Raw genomic sequence first — 19843 nt, 5'->3', positions numbered from 1 at the left:
TATATAATATATATTTTATATATTAGTGGCAATTTCAAATGCTGGCAAGGATGCAGAGAAATTGGATCACTTACATTTTGCTGTTGGGAATATAAAATGGTACAGTCACTTTGGGAAACAGTTTGGAGGCTTCTTGAAAAAACTAAACACTACTCAGCAACTGTATTCTTGCACAGTTATCCCAGAGGAGTAAATGCTCACAGAAAAATCTGTACAAAATTATTTATAGCAGCTTTATTTATAATAGACAAAAACTGGAAATAACTCCAGATGGCCTTCAACAGGTGAACAAGGAACAAACTGTGGTACATTCACACTGCCAACTACTTCTCAGCAATAAAAGGAAAATAACTATTGATACATGTAAGAAGCTGGACGAATCTCTAGAGAATTAGGCTGAGTGATAAAAAAAGCCAATCACCAAAGGTCACATACTGTATGATTTCATTTTCTTAACATTTTTGAAATGACAAAATTATAGGAATGGAGAACAGATAAGGGATTGCCAGGGCCTGGGATTGGCAGAGAGTGAAGTGTGGGTGACTATAGAGAGCAGCATGAGGGAATTTTGTGGCAATGGCAATGTTCTGTATCTTGACTGTCTCAGGGCCAATATCCTGTTTGTTACAATGCAGTGTAATTTTCCAAGATGTTGCCTTTGGAGAAAACTTAGAAAATGTATCTATAATCACTCTGTATCATTTTATCACTGCATATGAGGCAGCAATGATCTAAAAATGAAACATTTAATTAAATATATTTATTTTAAATGTTTAAGATAAAATGGTATCTTTTCAGGTTTTCCAAAAACCATAGTAAATGTAAATGGTAAATATAACTATTTTTCAACTAAAATGATTTTTTTGATCTTTCAATTTTAGATGGTTTGTCCAGGTGCTGAAAAAGTCTGATTTTTTTTTTTATTTTTGGTGAAAGAGAGATGCCTCAGCTCATTAGGCAGCTATTAGACTAGTGGACTCACTGTGCAGACATCAATACAGGCAGTCAATTGCAATCCCATGTCCCAAGGCTCTAAAATCAGACCAGCATTTCCTGGGCTAGTTCACTGTACACACAGTGCTTCTTTAGACTCCCTTCCAGTCCAGAGGGTCACAGGTCTACAGCAGTTTCAGTCTTACATCAAGGATTCTAACCCACTTAGAATTTGCTGAAGAAAAAAACTCTAATTCAAGACAAATTAGTGATTTTTTTCCACCTTAGAAGTAATTGAAATTTAAGTGTAACAACTCCTTTTGGTGAGGTATTTTAAAGGGTGAAAATCTCTGCTTAGCCTATATTAAACACTCAATAATTACTAGTTTCTTTCCCATTAATGAATAAAATATCTTCAGAAAGTTCTCAAAAAAGAACACATACTCTCGCCTGCCTGTGATGATGAATTATATCTGATTTATTGCCTAAATAAACTGATAATGTTCCACTTAGAAATCTCAGATTAAGGTGAAACCAACTACCTCATTTTGGACTCACCTTCTCATTGCCCTTCAAAGAATCTTGAGCCAGGAATCAACATAACTGATCACATTGTTACAAATAAGTCCATAGCGTTTTTCCCCTTTCCATTTTTAAAGTAGAATTTTACTATCATTCTTCTATAGGATATGGAGTCTAGCAGTTTTCTTTTACCATTATCAGATCTGGCTAATCTTTGACAGACTATTAAAAACCACAAATACAAATATAGACACAAGTCCATTAAGAAAAAAACAAGATATATCTGTACACACAAATGCAGGCTATTAAAAAACACAAGTACTCTAAAGCCCTAACATCAGAGGGAATAGCCCAAAACTTAGTTTCTGTTGAGCCAGTACAATGGATCAGTTTTCTCTATTTTTTCTATATGTGAGGACTTGAGCAATTAATTTTTCTTCTACGGGCCTCAGTTTCTCAAAATGTACAAATAGATGTTGGTGAATATGCCGGACATATTTCATTCATTTTACAGTTTATTTTCCCACCTGTCCCTTTTTCCAGCTACCTGTCTGTGTGGGCTCCACCTAATTTCAGGCAGGAGTGCTGGACAGTGCCTCATACCCATGCTGTGTACTTCTCACTTGTGTCATGGTGCTTCCAATAGATGCTGGTCCTGATCAGAGATTGCACATGTGCAGATGGAAAAAGCAGGCAGTTATTAACTCCTGGAAAATTTTTGACCAATGTGAAATGGAATATGATGCATAAATTCTTTCTTCTTACTCTGCATGTGCAGACCTGAGATACAGTTTATATCATTTATTGAAAAACTCTCACAATGGATTGAGAAATCAACTGTATTTGGCAGTGTCCAGCTTGATAATGCATCTCATATTGTCTCTTCATATGTTCCTAATTCATTTTCTGTGATGGTTAACTTTGTCTGTCAACTTGACTGGATTGAGGGATCCCAGTAAAATATTATTTCTGGGTGTATGTGCCAGGGTGTTTCAGGAAGAGATTAGCAGCCGAGTCAGTAGACTGAGTGAGGATGATCCACTCTCGCCAAGATGGGCGGATATTACTGAGTCCATTGAGGGGCTGTAAAGAACAAAAAGGCAGATCAAAGGTGAATTATTTCTCTCTTCTGGAGCTGGAACATTCATCTTTTCTTGCCTTGACACTTCAGAACATCATATTTCCAGGCCTTTGGATTCCAGGACACAGCAGCACCTCAGATTTTCAGGCCTTCAGCTCAGGACTGAGAAGGATGCCATTGACTCCCCAGTTCTCAGGCCTCTTGACTCTGACATCTACCACTAGCTTTCCTGGTTTTCCAGTTTGCAGATGGCATATGTGGACTTCTTGGGCTCCCTAATTGCAGGAGCCAGTTCCCAAAGTAAATCTCATATATCTACGTGTATATATCCTGTTGGTTTTGTTTCTCTGGAGAACCCTGAATAATAGCTTTCCTTTCCTCTCACTTCCCAGGATTGTAATTCCTGAGCCCTTAGCACAGTCTCTTCCTTCTGGGGCACCCAGGCAAAAACAGTTGATAAGAGGAACAGCAATAAAAAAACCTCAGGATGGGATTTTGCAGAAAGACTAGTCACCAATAGCATGGCAAAAACTCCCCATTGCTGGTGATATTATAATGACTAAAGCTTGCCCCTGAGACTAATTGCTATAAGGAGCATATCAACGTCTAGTATGAGGATGTGGCATATGAACTACATGACAGCAATAGGAAATTGAAGGATTGTAAAGTATATTTTTTGACTTTTGTTTTTAACTACTTTGAAAGCACCAATTTTACAAAAATAGGCTCTGAAAGTCAGCTTCCAACTAAAGGCAAACTCTGAAAGACAGAAAGCCTGTGACAGCAACTCACAAAATGCACTTGTTCTTCTTAGAATCCTCACATGCCACTCCTATTGCCTTCAGGCTGGCATTCGACATCACATCCCAGACAAGCCCAGTGGGTAAGTACAACTCTAGTTAATGAAAGAAGTCACTCACATGCTGAAGGAATTAGACTCTGCCTGTGTGCACTGCTGGTGACTGGAAGCAAATGTAAGAGTAAATCTTGTGGGTTAGAAAATAGGGCTAGACTACATGTGGGCTATAGAGTAAGTTATTTACATGGGCCACTCACCCATGACTGGAGCTTCGATGTTCTAACAAGGGCATATATTTTTTTGGCAATAACTTCTTGAAACATGCTCTGAAGATGGCCAATAGATAAAATACTTCCTGAAATATACTGAGAAAGTAGTCAGTGAGGTCAAGAGAAGTGGGAGTGTTATAATGAAATCATTATGTTAGACTTGAGAATCCACCACCTAGCTATGTTCCTTAGTAGGTCCAGCGATACTATTATTACTAAGAAAATAGGTGATCATTGAAAAGCTTGAAAGTGTCTGTCTTTTGTAGCACAGTAATGGGAGATGCTTCCTTGGTACTGTCTCCCTAGTAATAAAGGGAGTAGCAGATTCTGGAATGGTGGTGATCTGGAGGCTGTGTATAACCGTCAGAGGTAAAGTAAATGCAATTTCCATAATAGGCAGCAAAGCAGAGTAGCAAAAAGGGATATTTGATCCATAGAGGTCTGTGGCAATGAATAGCAGACCATGATAGTCCCAATAGTGAGACAAACGGGCAGTCAATCTGGGTGTTGCTGGAGTTGTGTACTAATATTAATTTTGAAAAATCAAATGCTGATAAGCAGAATTTTGAAAAATCAAATGCTGAGAACTGGAGCATTTCATCCATGTTCTAGATCTATTCAGATTCTAGATCTAAGTTTGTCAGATGCAGATTGAAACTGAAGTCAAAAGTCTTTGAGAAAGCACTTTGTAACACCACTGCAAGGAAATATGGTAAATATTCCTTCAATCCTTCCCGAAAGAAATCTGAAGCCATTTGTTAAAATAATTTTGCATTGGGAAAGGGGGAATATTTAGATTTTTTGAGGCTTGATAGATGCAAGGTTTGCGCTCATACTGGTTCCAGAAAGCTGAAAATGCCATCGTGCTTCACTAGGCAGAGAGAAACTTACGGAAACCAGGTGATGAATGAATTTTTGGTCTATGTGCATCTCAACAGAGCCCAAGTGGTTCCCATTGCCCATATGTGTGACCAGGATAGATATACTTATCGGCTATCATAAATATTTTGCTGGTTTTTTGACCTCTGAGCTAAGACTCATGCCAGAAAATCCTAAATGGAAGCTCATGAGGCTTTCCCCAGTTAAGAGAGAAAACAAAAAAATGTCATATCCTAGAAAGGACTGCAAAGGTTATCACTTCCAACAAAATCATAAAGAGATTTCATCATGTCTCAAAAACAAAATCAAAACAAAGCAAAAACAAGGAAAAGATGAATTATGGCAGGAAATAAAGCCTGTTGTACTGGATACAGTAATTTCACAGAAGCAGATCAACACAGCTTCTGGCTCTTGGTTTATAGCTAGGGATCTGGCAAATATGTTCTTGACTGCATTAGTAAGGAAGGTAGGAGCCATACACCTTCACATGACAGTGATGCAGCACATGAGCGCTCATTTGCTTCAGGGCATTATTAACACTCTTGCTTTCTGTCATTGTAGTGTCTGCAGAGAACTTGGTCATCTTGGAATTTCACAATATGGTGCTGGCCCACTAAATGATGAATCATACTATTAGGTCTCAGTGAGCAGTAAGTGGTGGTACTCTAGATGTCCCAGCAAGACACACATGTCAGAAAAGGGATCTAACTCTATGAAGATTCAGAAGCTTGCACTATTGTGAGTATTTTTTTAGGATAGAGCTATCAAAGGTAATCCTCTTACTTATCCCCTATAGAAGAAATGATAAATTGTTGCCCCTCACACCACCTACCGCTAAGAAAGTGGCCTCTTTAGATTTTGATGGTAGCATAGACTGCTTTTGGTAATACAGCTCTGATCCATTTTGGGGTGATATGGGAGGCTTCCATATTTGAGGCACTCAGACAGTTAAAATTCTGCAGTAAATCCAGTCTGCATTACAAATGGTTCTGCCACTCAGGACATTTCAGCTAAGCTAATATTGCTAGAGGTAGTTTCTGTCAAGCCATAGTATGAGAGTTAGAGTGAAGGCTCCTAAGCTTCTTCAGCAAGGCTATACATTCTGGGGCAGGGAACATCTCTGTGTTTGAAAACTGGTCCTGGTATGCTACTGGGTTCTCGGTTGTGGGAGGAGAGCTGATCACCTGACCTTGGAACATCCAGTGATAGTGGAAGTGGGTCTGCCCATCTTTGGCTGAGTATTGTAGATTCCGTTGTGTCATAGGTAAGGCAGACACAGTCATGGTCTATAAACATAGAGAAAATTTGGGAATGAGTCTATGCGGTTCCAAAACCAGCATTAAATTATACAAAAAACCAGTTCAGAAGCCAATATTGCATCATTGTCTCTCTTCAATTTATTGTTATAATTTTATTGGTTATTAACATTAACCAGATATTGGAGGAGGAAAAACTCAGCCTAGTTCATTGATGTTGAAGCTTGACCCAAATGGACTACTAGGAAATCTTAACCACACTCATGGAAAAGTGATAAAGGAGTGTGTTGAAGGGAGATCCTCCCAGTAGACAGAGCTGTAAAGAATCCTTTAGCCATCTTCTTTATACACAGAAAAAAGTGGTGTGAATTGCATATATACATGAGCTCTTGGGAAGTAGCATAGTTTGGTGGGTTACCCAGGGACCTGGATGCAATGAGATTCAGAGAACAGAGACAAAGAAAAGGAAAAGAAGTATATGAATTGACCTATTTAGTGAACAGAAAGTATGTCTATTTTTGTATCTTAAGTTAATATCCTTAAAAAAATGTCTACTGTGAGCAGGGCGCAGTGGCTCATGCCTGTAATCCCAGCACTTTGGGAGGCCAAGGTGGGCGGATCATGAGGTCAGGAGATCAAGACCATCCTGGCTAACACAGTGAAACCCCGTCTCTACTAAAAATACAAAAAATTAGCCGGGCATGTTGGCAGGCACCTGTAGTCCCAGCTACTCAGGAGGCTGAGGCAGGAGAATGGCATGAACCTGGGGGGTGAAGCTTGCAGTGAGCCGAGATCGTGCCACTGCACTCCAGCCTGGGCAACACAGCAAGACTCCGTCTAAAAAAAAAAATATCTACTGTGTAGGAGTCTTCTTACAATGAGATGATAAGATGATTCATTTCATGAAAGCCAGAAAGGCTTTCTTCTTGGTTATCTTAGTGGTAATGCAATAAGCCCATGAGAAGAGTGAGCGTGGTGATGTGGTTTAAGGTTGTACACATGCCTAATAATATGATCTTCCTCTCACCAAGACTAATGGAGCCACTACCATTGCTGAGTGTCCAACTTTCCAGCAGCTGAGACCAATAATAAACTTTGTAAGCATCACCATTCTTCAAGGAGACCAGCCACTTGGTAGTAAGTTCAATGTATTGGACCCCTCTAATGTAGCACCACCCAACCCCCCAGAAATATGACAGTGACTTTTCATACCAAAACTGATATCTACTATAATTATGGTGTGTTTTTTTCCATCCTATAATTGCCAGAACAGGAAAAATCTTCAGAGGACTTATAGGATTTCCTAACTTATTGACATGGTATCGTATATAATATTGCCTTAGGCCAACAGAACCATTTTATAGCCACAGAGGTGTGAGGGAAGGTCTCATAGGATCCGTTGGTCTTGCTAAGTGGCTCTTACCTCATCATGCCCCCCACACATCATCATTCATAAAAGCTTCCTAATTCAAAATGTGGAATGGCATGTTAAAGGATCAGCTATGGCACTATTTCAAAGACAAAAGCCCTCAGTGTTGGGATACTGCTGAAACAATATACTAAACATATTCCAGCATGACTGAAAAATTTTATCTTGAAAATGTTGGCAGTCCTAGGAAACATTCAAGTATCACATAAAAGATTCAGAATCACTGACTCATTCAGCTTTTCATGGGTGGTTTTCTTTCCAATTACTGACTCTAATGGAAGAGTAAATTACTCTCCTAATGATAGTTGAAAATAACTGCTTAGGTTTTTATGTGGAAAAAAAGAAAGCATTTTAGTGGTCATTATTTCCTATCAATATATTTTTTTTTGTTTTCTTCTTCTTTCACAGGACTGTCCCTCAAGGGAATTTTATTCCTTAACAAAGGTCAGGAAATAAAATAGGCCAAGTATTTAAAGAAATTTTTATTTCCATCCTGTATTAGTTTTCTATTGCTGCTGTAAAAAAATAACACAAACTTAGTGGCTTAAAACAACTGCCATCTATTATTGCCTAGTTTCTGTAGGTTAGAATTCCAGTAGGCACTGTAGTCTGTGCTTAAGTATTACAAGGCTGAAATAAAGGAATCAACAAGACTATGTTCCTTTCTGGAGGCAGAGGAGAATCCATCTCATTGTTCATTCAGGTGGTTGACAGAATTTATTTCTATGCAATTGAAGGGCCAAAGTCCATTTCTTTATTGGCTGTGAGCTGGGAGTCATTCTCAGCTTCTAGAAGCCACCTATGTTCACTGGCTTGTGGCCCCTGCATCTTAGAGCCAGTAATGGTAGATGGAGTCCCTCTCACTCTTAAAATCTCTCCTACCTGTTCTTCAGCCATTGCATCTCCCTGACAGACTCTTCTGCCTTCCTCTTCTATTTTTAAGGGCTCTTGTGATTACACTGCGTTCATCCAGATAATCCAGGATAATCTTTCTATCTTAAGACTCTTAATCATAATTCCTTTTACAAAGTTCCTTTTGTTATGTAATAGAACATACATGGGAGTAAAAGTAAGAGCAAAGATCAGGAGGGCTAAAGCTCTTTTGACTACATACACCCAGGTCATTCTGCCAGCCAAATTCTAGGACCTTGTTTTATTCTTAAAATAAATTTATACTCTAGAACAGGAATATGGAAGTCCTGTGAGTTTAAGAGACTCGGGTTAACCATGAAAGGAGAAATTCCCTCTCTTTGGTGCCCTGGTAATTTAATGCATGAAAGCAACGTACTATAGTAACATTAAGAATCTTTCTTCTGAAAAAAAAAAAAAAGGTTATGAAACAATCAGTTTACCAGAAGAATTAATTTTGAGCTGGATACACCTATTTTTCAGGATTGTGACATTAAATTTCTTAAAACAATGCCCTGGAAATCTTTGCCTATCATCGAGTATTTGAGCATTCCCTACTCACATATCCCTGCCCCATTTGAAAACAACTGGATGATGACATCTTTAGGAATCATTCTACCTTAAGTACCCCAGAATTTTTCAGTTCTGTCCCTGAATGAATGAAGTACTATTATTTTTCAAAGAAATCTTTGAAACTAGAGGAGAGCTAATCTGCCAAGCCAAATATTTTGAAGTGGGTAGATCTAAAGCTCTCATACAGGAATATTGTAGATATAAACAATAACTGGAATGGCTATCAGATAAAAATATTGTTGAATTCCATGAGTAGATGATGAAATAACCAATGGACTGAAAATTTTAATTTCAGGAACTTGAAAGATGGTTTAAAGCTAAACCATCTTTACAGCTGAATTGGATTAATTTAATTCACTAGTGAGTTCTACATTTGATGTTTGTATTAGTCTGTTTTCACACTGCTATAAAGAACTACCCGAGACTGGGTAATTTATGAAGAAAAGAGGTTTAATTGAGTCACAGTTCCATAGGCTTAACAGGAAGCATGGCTGGGAAGCCTGAGGAAACTTACAATCATGGCAGAAGGCAAAGGGAAAGCAAGGCACATTCTTCACATGGTTGCAGGAGAGTGAGGGAGCAAACAGGGAAGTGCTACACATTTTTAAACCATCAGATCTCATGAGAACTCACTGACCATCACAAGAACAGCAAGGGGGAAATCCGCTCCCATGATCCAATCACCTCCCACCAGGCCCTTCCTCCAATACATGGGGATTACAATTCAACATGAGATTGGGTGGGGACATAGAGCCAAACCTCACAATGTATTAGACATGGGCAAGAACCATTTGAGCTTTCATCATAGAGAATGTTTTTCCAGAGGATCAAGTTAACTAAAAGACTTATCTCTGGAGGCACGGCTTGGCTCTACTTTTCCTAACTTAACTACATCATCAACCACATAGAAAATTTGTAACATCAAGATGTCTGTTTATAGAGTTCTATTGCAAAATAGAGATATGACGTTAACTATTGTCTTCCCAATTCCTAGTGCTTATCATGTACTATGTATGATGACCTATGCATTCACTATTAGAATATAGACACAGCCAGCACTGGATATTTTTCCTGGACCATAGTTGGACTTTTTTCTTCATTGCTTGGTCAATGGAGGATGCTATGGGACCAAAATTACACTGTTCAATAGGGGAGCCCCTGGCTACAGGTGCTATTGAGTACTTGAGTTATAGTTAGTCTGAACTGAGATGTGCTGCAAGTTTAAAATGCATACTGGATTTCAAAAACTTAGTTCAAATTTTTTTAAATGAAAGTATTTCATTAAAAACATTTTACATTGATTATATGTTGGATAATAATTTCATCCATATTTGGGTAAATAAAATATATTGTTGAAATTAATTTTATCAGATTATTCACATATATTAATGTGGCTATTAGAACATTAAACATTACAAATTGGCCCACATTGTATTTTCATTTGTTGTTAGCGCTAGTACAGACCATAGTGAGACTCCAAAAGTCATTTTTTCAACCATGCTATGTATGTCCCTAGCAGTCTTGTTTTATGACAAGTGCTCAATCTTCTTAAAAGTCTTTCTCCTCCTCCTGTACTCCTCATCAAAGGCAGAGTCACACTGGTCCAGAAGGCTAGTAGTTCAAAAGAGATTGCTGGCCTCTCTTTACCTTACTATTTTCCAACATCCATTCAGCAAATCCAAGGCTTAATTATTATTTGTATAAAGTTTTCTTAGAGAGATTAATAAAATTCAGTGATACTTGAAACCAAAATATTCTTGTGATCCAGTTGTCCTGAACAGTGTGAGGTTTTTAATCTTGATTTTTAATCATAGTATTTGCTCTTCATAAACAAGATGATACTTACTCTCATTTCTTCATTTCCCAAAGCAAGACAGGCACACGAAAAACTTATTTTATTTTATTCTGTATGAGGATGAGTTTGATGTGACTGAAAAAAGTAATCAGTACAGAACTGCCTAAACTTTTAGCCCTAGGTAGAGATAAATTCCATCTTTGATAATCATGTACAACTTCTGAATAACTGCTTCTTAGGTATGAGGTCAGCCTGGTGCCTTGGCTCTATCCATGGACAGCAGCTGGTCAGACAATTCTGTATGCAGCTTTGACTACAGTGCTACAAAGATTTCTCACGGAGAGAAAGAAAGAATTGCAGCCCAAATCACAGCCAGGCTTGTTTCACCAGCCTTCTTGAGAACTGTCAAAATGGGTCTATAAAAGAGCAAGTGAATTGCAAAGCAATGCCAAATATGAAAGACTTGAATCCAAATCAATAGAATTTCTGCATGTAGTAAAGTACATTAAAGGACTATGATCTGTATACAGAGACAGAAATGTTAACAGGCCAAAAATTTTGGTAATTTAGGGGAAAAGGCAGAAAAATACATGGTGGAACAAGATCCCTTTAATGACATTGGAGTCTGTTGAATGGTATAACTTTGGGCTACGCACACATATCCAAGATCACACAAGGCTAGAAGTCATATCCAGGCAAGCTGAAGGACAGGGATGCCCAAAGAAGGGGAGGCAAAAAGATCAAAAGATAAGTGGACAGGTAAGTAGACAAGAAAATGCAAGTAGAGGGCAGAGCAAGAAGGTGATTCAACATTCAGAGTAGAAAGTGGCAGTCTGATTCAACATTCAGAGTAGAAAGTGACAATCAGCCAACCAAACACACACAAGGAAGATATGTAGGAACTGATGTTACTATTAAGGCAAGAATGTTTCATTTAACATTCCAAGAAAGTAACTAGAAGTGAAGGTGATGACAAAGCCAATTACCTAATGGATATGGGGCCCTATTGTAACATAACAATTTTAGTGACAAGGCAAATCCTCGTAGACACAGAAGTGAAGTGTGGTCAATCTGAAGAAAGGCTTGAGGAAACATGAGGCTGAAGAGGTGGGTGGGGACTGAGATGGGAAGATTCTGACAGGCAGAACTGCTCAGAGTTGGGAACACACAGTTGGCTATCACCTGCAATGGTTTCTCAGTGCCTCACAACTTGGTAGTGTTATATTTTACTGGATTATGACAACATTTGGGATCTGCTAGTAGGCTGGGGTAGGGAGTCATATCCTGAATTGCACTTTTTTCCTTTCATTCAAAATACTCTGGTGCTCATGCATTTACTGACACCATTCCTGGTGGTGGCTCAGCTCAGGAGGTAGACATTTCCAGGACTCTGTGGTCCATGGTCTTGTTCTGCTGCTTGGTGTCTGGTGATGGTCATGCAGGACATCAAGTAGCAGATGAATCAGGTATGCCCCATATACAGCCAGAATCGACAACATAATTATAGTTTACAGATTAATTATCATTCCATCATAGATCCTTAGCTTGTGCTGTACAAAAGGGAACAAAACAGTTTCCTTTTCAAAACTGGCACCTTCTTAAGGAAACAATTATATCAAAGGAAATCATAAAAACTGAGCCATCAAAATAGAGTTTTATGCTATCACCAAATGTTTCATTATATGATAAAACTGAGTGAGATTTTAATGGTCATCTCATATAATAAAGGAATGGCTCAGATGATTTTTAAAAACAGGCTAATGGTATACAATTTATTCAGTGTTTCTCAACAATTACTGTGCATCAGGTTTACTTGGGGGTCTTCTCAAAACAGAGATTATTGAGCCCACTCTCAAAATATCTGATTCAGTGGTCCAAGGATGTGCATTTCTAACAAGCCCACAGATGCCTGTGGTGCTGGTCTAGGGACCCTAGTTTAAGAATTACTAATCTGGTCAGTGGGCCAGTCAAGACAATGACCCTGGCTCTGTCTAAATGTCTACAGTTCTGTATTCTAACAAGACTTAAAGAGAAACAGTGCAAAAGAGAAAGAGAGAGACAGAAAACTTTTTATTTTGTCAGGCTTGGGAAACAAAGATTACTTAATCTTTCAGAAAACTTTTTGTCACCAAGGGACATTTGGGTGAGTTGGTTTGATGAGACTAAAAACTCCAAGCCGGACATAGTGGCTCATGCCTGTAATCCTAGCACTTTGGGAGGCCGAGGCCCGTGGATAGCTTGAGTCCAGGAGTTGAAGACCAGCCTGCGTGACATGGCGAAATGCTGTTTCTGCAAAAAGATACAAAAATTAGCTGGACATGGTGGTGCATGTGTCTGTAGTTTCAGCTACTTGGGAGGCTGCAGAGGCAGGATCTATTGAGCTCAGGAGATTGAGGCTGCAGTGAGCTCTGGTCGTGCCACTGCACTCCAGCCTGGGCTACAGAGCAAGGCCCTATCTCAAAACAAAAAACCAAAAAGACTCAAGACCGCCCCTATTGGGAAGGAACACTAAGAAGAAGAATGCCTTAATGCCTGTCGGTGTCACTCACAGTACTTGTTGTCTCTCCTCTCTGTAATGTAACACTTATCACACTCCTCTTCTGCAATTTCAGGACTGCCATTAGGATAATGTGGATTACACTTCCGCAGCCCCTATCTAGATGTTACATTCAAATGTCACTGACAGTAAATAGAATCTGCTATAAGAAATAATGGGGAATGCTGGCCAGAGTCTGTTGAAAATAGATATCTGCCTTAGCCAGACACAAAGAAAGATAACCCTGAATGTAGATTAAGTCTGCAATACACACAAATTCTTGATTCTGTCAGGTTCATCAGAGACAGTAAACCCAGAGAGATTTGAAGCCGAATGGATTATGATCATTTACCTTGTATTGAATTCCATGGCACCTGTGAATATTTACCCTTTGCACAGTAAAACTTCAGGCATAGCAATCTGGAAACTGCTCCCCTGAATTCTGCTTAAAGCATGTAGTCAAAATTTCTGCACACCAGGTGTAGGTGGCTTTGCTATTATCATCATTGAAAATGCATGTCCTGTTTTCTTGTGGCAAGGTGACAGGTGATATACAAAACAAGATGCATCCATAATCCATGCCCTTGAGGATCTTTCATACAAAGACAAAGGCGAGCACTGATTTCCAGACAATAGCCTCATAAAGCAGCTTAAAGTAAGATTTTGTTTTCGTTTTTATTTTTTGTGGGGTTTTTTTGCACAGAATTTAAGTGAAAAATATCTGTTTCTGTGAAGCAATGGTTTGGTGGGATCAATTTCTCCAGTGGGCAGATGTGATGGTTAATATTAGGTGTCAACTTGATTGGATTGAAGGATGCATAGGTGGGTGGTAAAGTATTGTCTCTGGGTGTGTCTGTGAGGGTGTTGCCAGAGGAAATTAACATTTGAGTCAGTGGACCGGGAGAGGAAAACCCACCCTCAATATGGGTGGGCACCATTCAATTGGCTGCCAGTGCAGCTAGAACAAAGTAGGAGGAAGAAGGTGGGATAAGCTGGCTTGCTGAGTCTTCTGGCTTTTGTCTTTCTCCTGTGTTGGATGCTTCCATCTGTCCCTTCTGCCCTTGGACATCAGGTTCCACGTTCTTCAGCCTTTGGACTCTTGGACTTACACCAGTGGTTTGCCGGGGGCTCTCAGGACTTCAGCCACAGACTAAAGTCTGCACTGTTGGTTTCCCTACTTTTGAGGGTTTTGGACTTAGACTGAGCCACTACTGGCTTCTTTCTTCCTCAGCTTGCAGACAGCCTATCATGGGAGTTTACCTTGTAATCACGTGAGCCAATTCTGCTTAATAAACTCCCTATTATATACACATGTATCCTATTAGTTCTGTCCCTCTGGAGAACCCTAACTAATATAGCAGTTAGTAGATATTTGTTTAGTGTCTAATCCCTGGGCACTGCCTACCCTCCCACTGGCTCTTCCAATCAGCATGTCCACGTTTCTTGTTCTGGGCAGGAAGTGGTGAATAACGCAAGGAAATTATCAGCAATATTTTTAGTATATGCACACTTTTTTCCAGTTCTACCATTGATGATATTATTTTACATGTGATCTGATATGGTTTAGCTGTGTCCCCACCCAAATCTCATCTTGAATGGTAGCTCCCATAATCCCCACATGTCATGGGAGGGAACCAGTGGGAGGTAAATGAATCATGGGGGTGGGTTTCTCCTGTTCTCATGATAATGAATAAGTCTTATGAGATCTGATGATTTTATAAAGGGCAGTTCCCCCGCACATGCACTCTAGCCTGTGTAAGACATACCTTTGCTACCCCTTCACCTTCTGCCATGATTTTGAGTCCTCCCCAGCCATGTGGAACTGTGAGTCCATTAAACTTCTTTTTCTTTATAAATTACCCAGTCTTGGGTGTATCTTTATTAGCAGCAAGAGTCCGGACTAATACATGATCAAAAACTAATTGGGCGAGAAAATTGTTTTTGGCACCTCCTTTGATTTTACCTGAAGGAAAGCCTGACAAGAAGGGAATCAGTTACACTGGAGCTCCATGGTGTTTGAGAAGATTGAATATCAATATCCGCTTGACTTCAAATCCAGTCCTGTTGTCTCAGTGCCCATCTAGCCACCTGCTGGCATCCTTGCCTGACACCTGCTCCAGGGGGACTACACTACCAGATAGACTCACCTCACTGAAACTGATTTAGAAGTGGATTTTAACTCATTAGGCTAGAGCCAAGGTATTGAGAGGACCTGCTAAGCATCTGCCATTTAGTCACGGGCATCACTGTAAAAGGTCCACTCTCTAGTGTAGTCTAACATGAGGAATAGTTTATCCATTTGCCTTATACTGTGGTTCAAAAAATTCAATGAAGTCAGCCCTATTAAGTGATTAGTTTCTCTCAATTTTCTTATAGGGTTGGACTTTGCACTAAAACTACATTTCATGTCATGACTTATGGGTGACCTTGTGACTTTCCCTTGCCAAGTGTTCTTACAGGCATAGCCCAGTGCCACCTTCATATGATTGCGACAACACTTAGAATAAGAAAGGCAATAATGCTCCTCTTATTCCTGCTAGGGATACAAAAGCTCTACTATAGCTTGTACCTTTCATACTTTCTAGACATCAGGAGGGATCATTCACACGACCACCACCACCACCACCACCACTACCACCACTGCTACTACTTTTACTGCTATTTCTACTAGTTCTTCTTCCTTCTCCTCCTTTTTCTCCTTCTTCTTTCCTTAAGCTTCTGTACTTACCCTTCATTCTCATGCATATTTTCAACCTGTTGATTAGACAATCAGAATTCGTTTATGTAGGTTGGTGGTAGAGCAACCCCACATCAATATGTGAGTAGATTAAGCTGCAGAAGATAAATACTTGTGGCCCACTGTTGTCTCAGATCATGATGTTTGTTTCTCAAGTTAAGGCCTCCTTCGATTTTGGCATGCAAAATGGTGGCATCTACTCAATAATTTATGCTAACTTCCCTTTGGAAGTCATTTCTTGAGCAGAATACCTACAAAAGTTTTTCTATTACATGTAGAGTGTAAAACCGTTATACAATATTTCTGAATAAATTTAAAGAGAAAAAGATAAACTTTAGAACCAAATGAGATGTTTGCATCCTCAATTCCTAAGGCCACGTTTTGTAAGGCCAAAGAGGAGAAGTCCCATGGCCAGGATCCGAGAAACTTGTTACTGAAAAAGTAGTAATAGGTGTCCAGACTTCATTGCTGAGTTATTTTTCCACTTTAGAGGCCAGATCAGTCAGGACTCATCTATACAAAGGCATACATTGGGCAACTTCTATTTCCAAGACAAAGGCAATCAGGATATCTTAGACAGAAAGAGGGTTCAATTGAGTCTATAATTATAATTAATTTGTAATTGTTTGTCCTCTAAGTTAGCATATATAACTGACATTAGAGACAATCAGCTAAAACTACGACAATCAAAATTTCTCAGGTCCTATTATTAAAAGTATTCAACATATTTATTAATGATGCAAGTGTTTTGCAAACCAAGGAAGATATTTCTTACAACAGTAGAAAATTCTGTTTGTTCTCTCACTGCCTTTTTTCTTAAAGTATTAGGGTTATTAAGTGCAACATCTGCACAGAACAGGTTGTTTGCTTTTCAAATAACTTTAGCAGAAAGAAATATTTGATGAATTAGTAATGTGTTTGACCTTGAGAAACTGATCAAAATATCTGGCTCTTTGGTACTTTACTTTGATGCCTCAGTAACTTTTTAAAGCTGAATTTTACAAGCCCCTTAGCAAATTGGTTTTGCAATGGTGTTTTTTTTTCTTGTATCTGATATATTACTTGGATGCTGACAAACCTGCTGGAAAGGAAAACAAAAATGAAAGTCTAAGTAATCAGTAGCCTCTGCAATCATTATAGATGCTTGATGGGTATTTCAGAGTCCTTTACTTGAAAACAAATTACGTAAATCCACTTATGTGTGTTGAAAATTTACAGTAACTCTAAAGAATGAGGAACCAGACACATCAGCATGGTTGAAAGTTAACTTCTGAGACATTAAAAGATGTTCCTAGGTCTGTAACTTCTTGTTCTTTTTCCAGGAAATTTATTTTCTAGACAATTACCTCTATGGGGAACACCCAGGGCTGGAGGGAACAATTTTACAGAATCTTACTGTTATTGAGTCAGCAGTGCTAGCTATTAAATAACAGGTGGCAGGCTGTGATTTATATGCGCAAGTTGCACTGTGCAGTCGTCCTATGCAGGCCCTGGCCCTTAGGAAAGAAAGCCAAAGATGGTACATCAACTACTATAAAACTAAAGCGTCTTCTTTTGTTAGTCCAAATGTGCTTACCTATTAAGCTATAAAAGATGTAATCCATGAGCCAAGACCAAAATCACCAGTGTACACTCACTCCACACATACGTAACATTCTTTAGTCTTATCATCATCCTTTACATGTTCATTACACATATTTAAAAAAAAAAGATAATCCGTCTGCCTCTTCCTATAAGATATGCTTGGAACTAAGCAATGTAGCAGTGAGCCATAAGAAACCTGGATCAGATATTTTAATTGAATAGACAAGTCCTAAACTTATTCAAAGAACGAGTAAGATTGTCTTGGGATGGTTTTGCTTTTATTTGGTATTAGTTTTTGATTTGGTGTTGGTATTTTTTTTTCCAGGAACACTGGATATATTCTATGTTTTATGGAACTTTTTTTAGTTCACCAGTGCTTTAGGTGTTATAAACATAAGTCAAATATCATGTCTTGCTGTACCCAACTCACTAGGCACAGAGACTGACATCTATTTGTTCAGTATTTCTAAGGAATCTCAAATCTAAAACAATAGCTATGTGGCTTCATGTTTAGAGATTGTCCTCTCAGTCTTTCAAACATTATTCGTGGAGATTTGTTTCCACTTTAAATAGCAGAGCTATTGCAATACTGAATCTGTGAGAACTTCCTTGCCTTTTGAATGCTTATTGGCTGCTTAACATTTTAAATGAGAATTGTTCATCCAAAGGAAGTTCACTTCGTTCTGAAATTCAATTCAACCTAAATTGTAGGCATCTCAATTTCCCATTCTGAAGTTCCAAGATCAAGAAAGTGTCACCTTACTCTTGATATATTTTGGGTCTTACAAAAGAGTCAGACACTCACAATTCTGGGAGAAATATATTTCTAATTTTCTTATTACAATTCTCACAGCATATAGTAAAGTTCATTAAAAAATTGAAAAAAGTTACATTAGAATTCAGTTTTCTGTTTGATTCTATGAGGGATAATAAACTCAGTAACATCTAGATAGTTTCTCATTATGTCTCACCAACTTTTTATTTATTTATTTATTTATTTATTATTATACTTTAAGTTTTAGGGTACATGTGCACAATGTGCAGGTTAGTTACATATGTATACATGTGCCATGCTGGCGCGCTGTACCCACTAACTCGTCATCTAGCATTAGGTATATCTCCCAATGCTATCCCTCCCCTCTCCCCCCACCCCACAACAGTCCCCAGAGTGTGATGTTCCCCTTGCTGTGTCCATGTGTTCTTATTGTTCAATTCCCACCTATGAGTGAGAATACGCGGTGTTTGGTTTTTTGTTCTTGTGATAGTTTACTGAGAATGATGATTTCCAATTTCATCCATGTCCCTACAAAGGACATGAACTCATCATTTTTTATGGCTGCATAGTATTCCATGGTGTATATGTGCCACATTTTCTTAATCCAGTCTATCATTGTTGGACATTTGGGTTGGTTCCAAGTCTTTGCTATTGTGAATAGTGCCGCAATAAACATACGTGTGCATGTGTCTTTATAGCAGCATGATTTATAGTCCTTTGGGTATATACCCAGTAATGGGATGGCTGGGTCAAATGGTATTTCTAGTTCTAGATCCCTGAGGAATCGCCACACTGACTTCCACAAGGGTTGAACTAGTTTCCAGTCCCACCAACAGTGTAAAAGTATTCCTATTTCTCCACATCCTCTCCAGCACCTGTTGTTTCCTGACTTTTTAATGATTGCCATTCTAACTGGTGTGAGATGGTATCTCATTGTGGTTTCGATTTGCATTTCTCTGATGGCCAGTGATGGTGAGCATTTTTTCATGTGTTTTTTGGCTGCATAAATGTCTTCTTTTGAGAAGTGTCTGTTCATGTCCCTCGCCCACTTTTTGATGGGGTTGTTTGGTTTTTTCTTGTAAATTTGTTTGAGTTCATTGTAGATTCTGGATATTAGCCCTTTGTCAGATGAGTAGGTTGTGAAAATTTTCTCCCATTTTGTAGGTTCCCTGTTCACTCTGATGGTAGTTTCTTTTGCTGTGCAGAAGCTCTTTAGTTTAATTAAATCCCATTTGTCAATTTTGGCTTTTGTTGCCATTGCTTTTGGTGTTTTAGACATGAAGTCCTTGCCCATGCTTATGTCCTGAATGGTAATGCCTAGGTTTTCTTCTAGGGTTTTTATGGCTTTAGGTCTAAGGTTTAAGTCTTTAATCCATCTTGAATTGATTTTTGTATAAGGTGTAAGGAAGGGATCCAGTTTCAGGTCTCTACATATGGCTAGCCAATTTTCATGTCTCACCATCTTGATGTCATACCCAAATCAATGTAATCTTCTCAGAAAAGCTGTGTGGCCAATAGAATGTTAAGGTAAGTTCTTATTTTTTTCTCTGAAATGCTTCTAACTTGCAGATAATACATGAAGCATAAATGATGTATATATTTGAAGCCTAACACAAATTCTGATGCTTTTATCATTAAAAGTGAGCCAAAATATTTGGTAAAACTCTTCTGTTTCTCTGAGAGTTCATATTGGGATGCTTGGGTCTTTCAAGGATGCTGTCTTGGAACTGCTCCACACACTCTGGACCTGCCTTGCTTTGATATCA

The 19843-nt window shown here is 38.7% G+C and overlaps 2 long non-coding RNA genes across 3 annotated transcripts in view; one reads left to right on the top strand and one right to left on the bottom strand.

Annotated features, from left to right (window-relative positions):
- The first annotated feature begins 2745 nt into the window (after positions 1–2745).
- On the top strand, positions 2746–6919 carry LOC105373644 (uncharacterized). Its single transcript, XR_923377.3, has 3 exons — positions 2746–3419; positions 5045–5221; positions 6771–6919. It is a non-coding gene; the product is annotated as an uncharacterized LOC105373644 (long non-coding RNA).
- Positions 6920–12498: 5579 nt separating this feature from the next.
- Positions 12499–19843, bottom strand: part of LOC105373643 (uncharacterized) — a 144473-nt gene continuing 137128 nt past the window's right edge. For both annotated transcript variants that reach the window (NR_188041.1, NR_188040.1), the window contains one exon: positions 12499–12734. This is a non-coding gene — a long non-coding RNA (uncharacterized LOC105373643). The remainder of the gene's footprint in view (positions 12735–19843) is intronic.

This window comes from Homo sapiens, chromosome 2 (genome assembly GCF_000001405.40).
Source record: "Homo sapiens chromosome 2, GRCh38.p14 Primary Assembly".
Classification (NCBI taxonomy): domain Eukaryota; kingdom Metazoa; phylum Chordata; class Mammalia; order Primates; family Hominidae; genus Homo; species Homo sapiens.
Note: the sequence above shows the minus strand (reverse complement) of the source record. Positions and strands in the feature narration are given on the sequence as shown.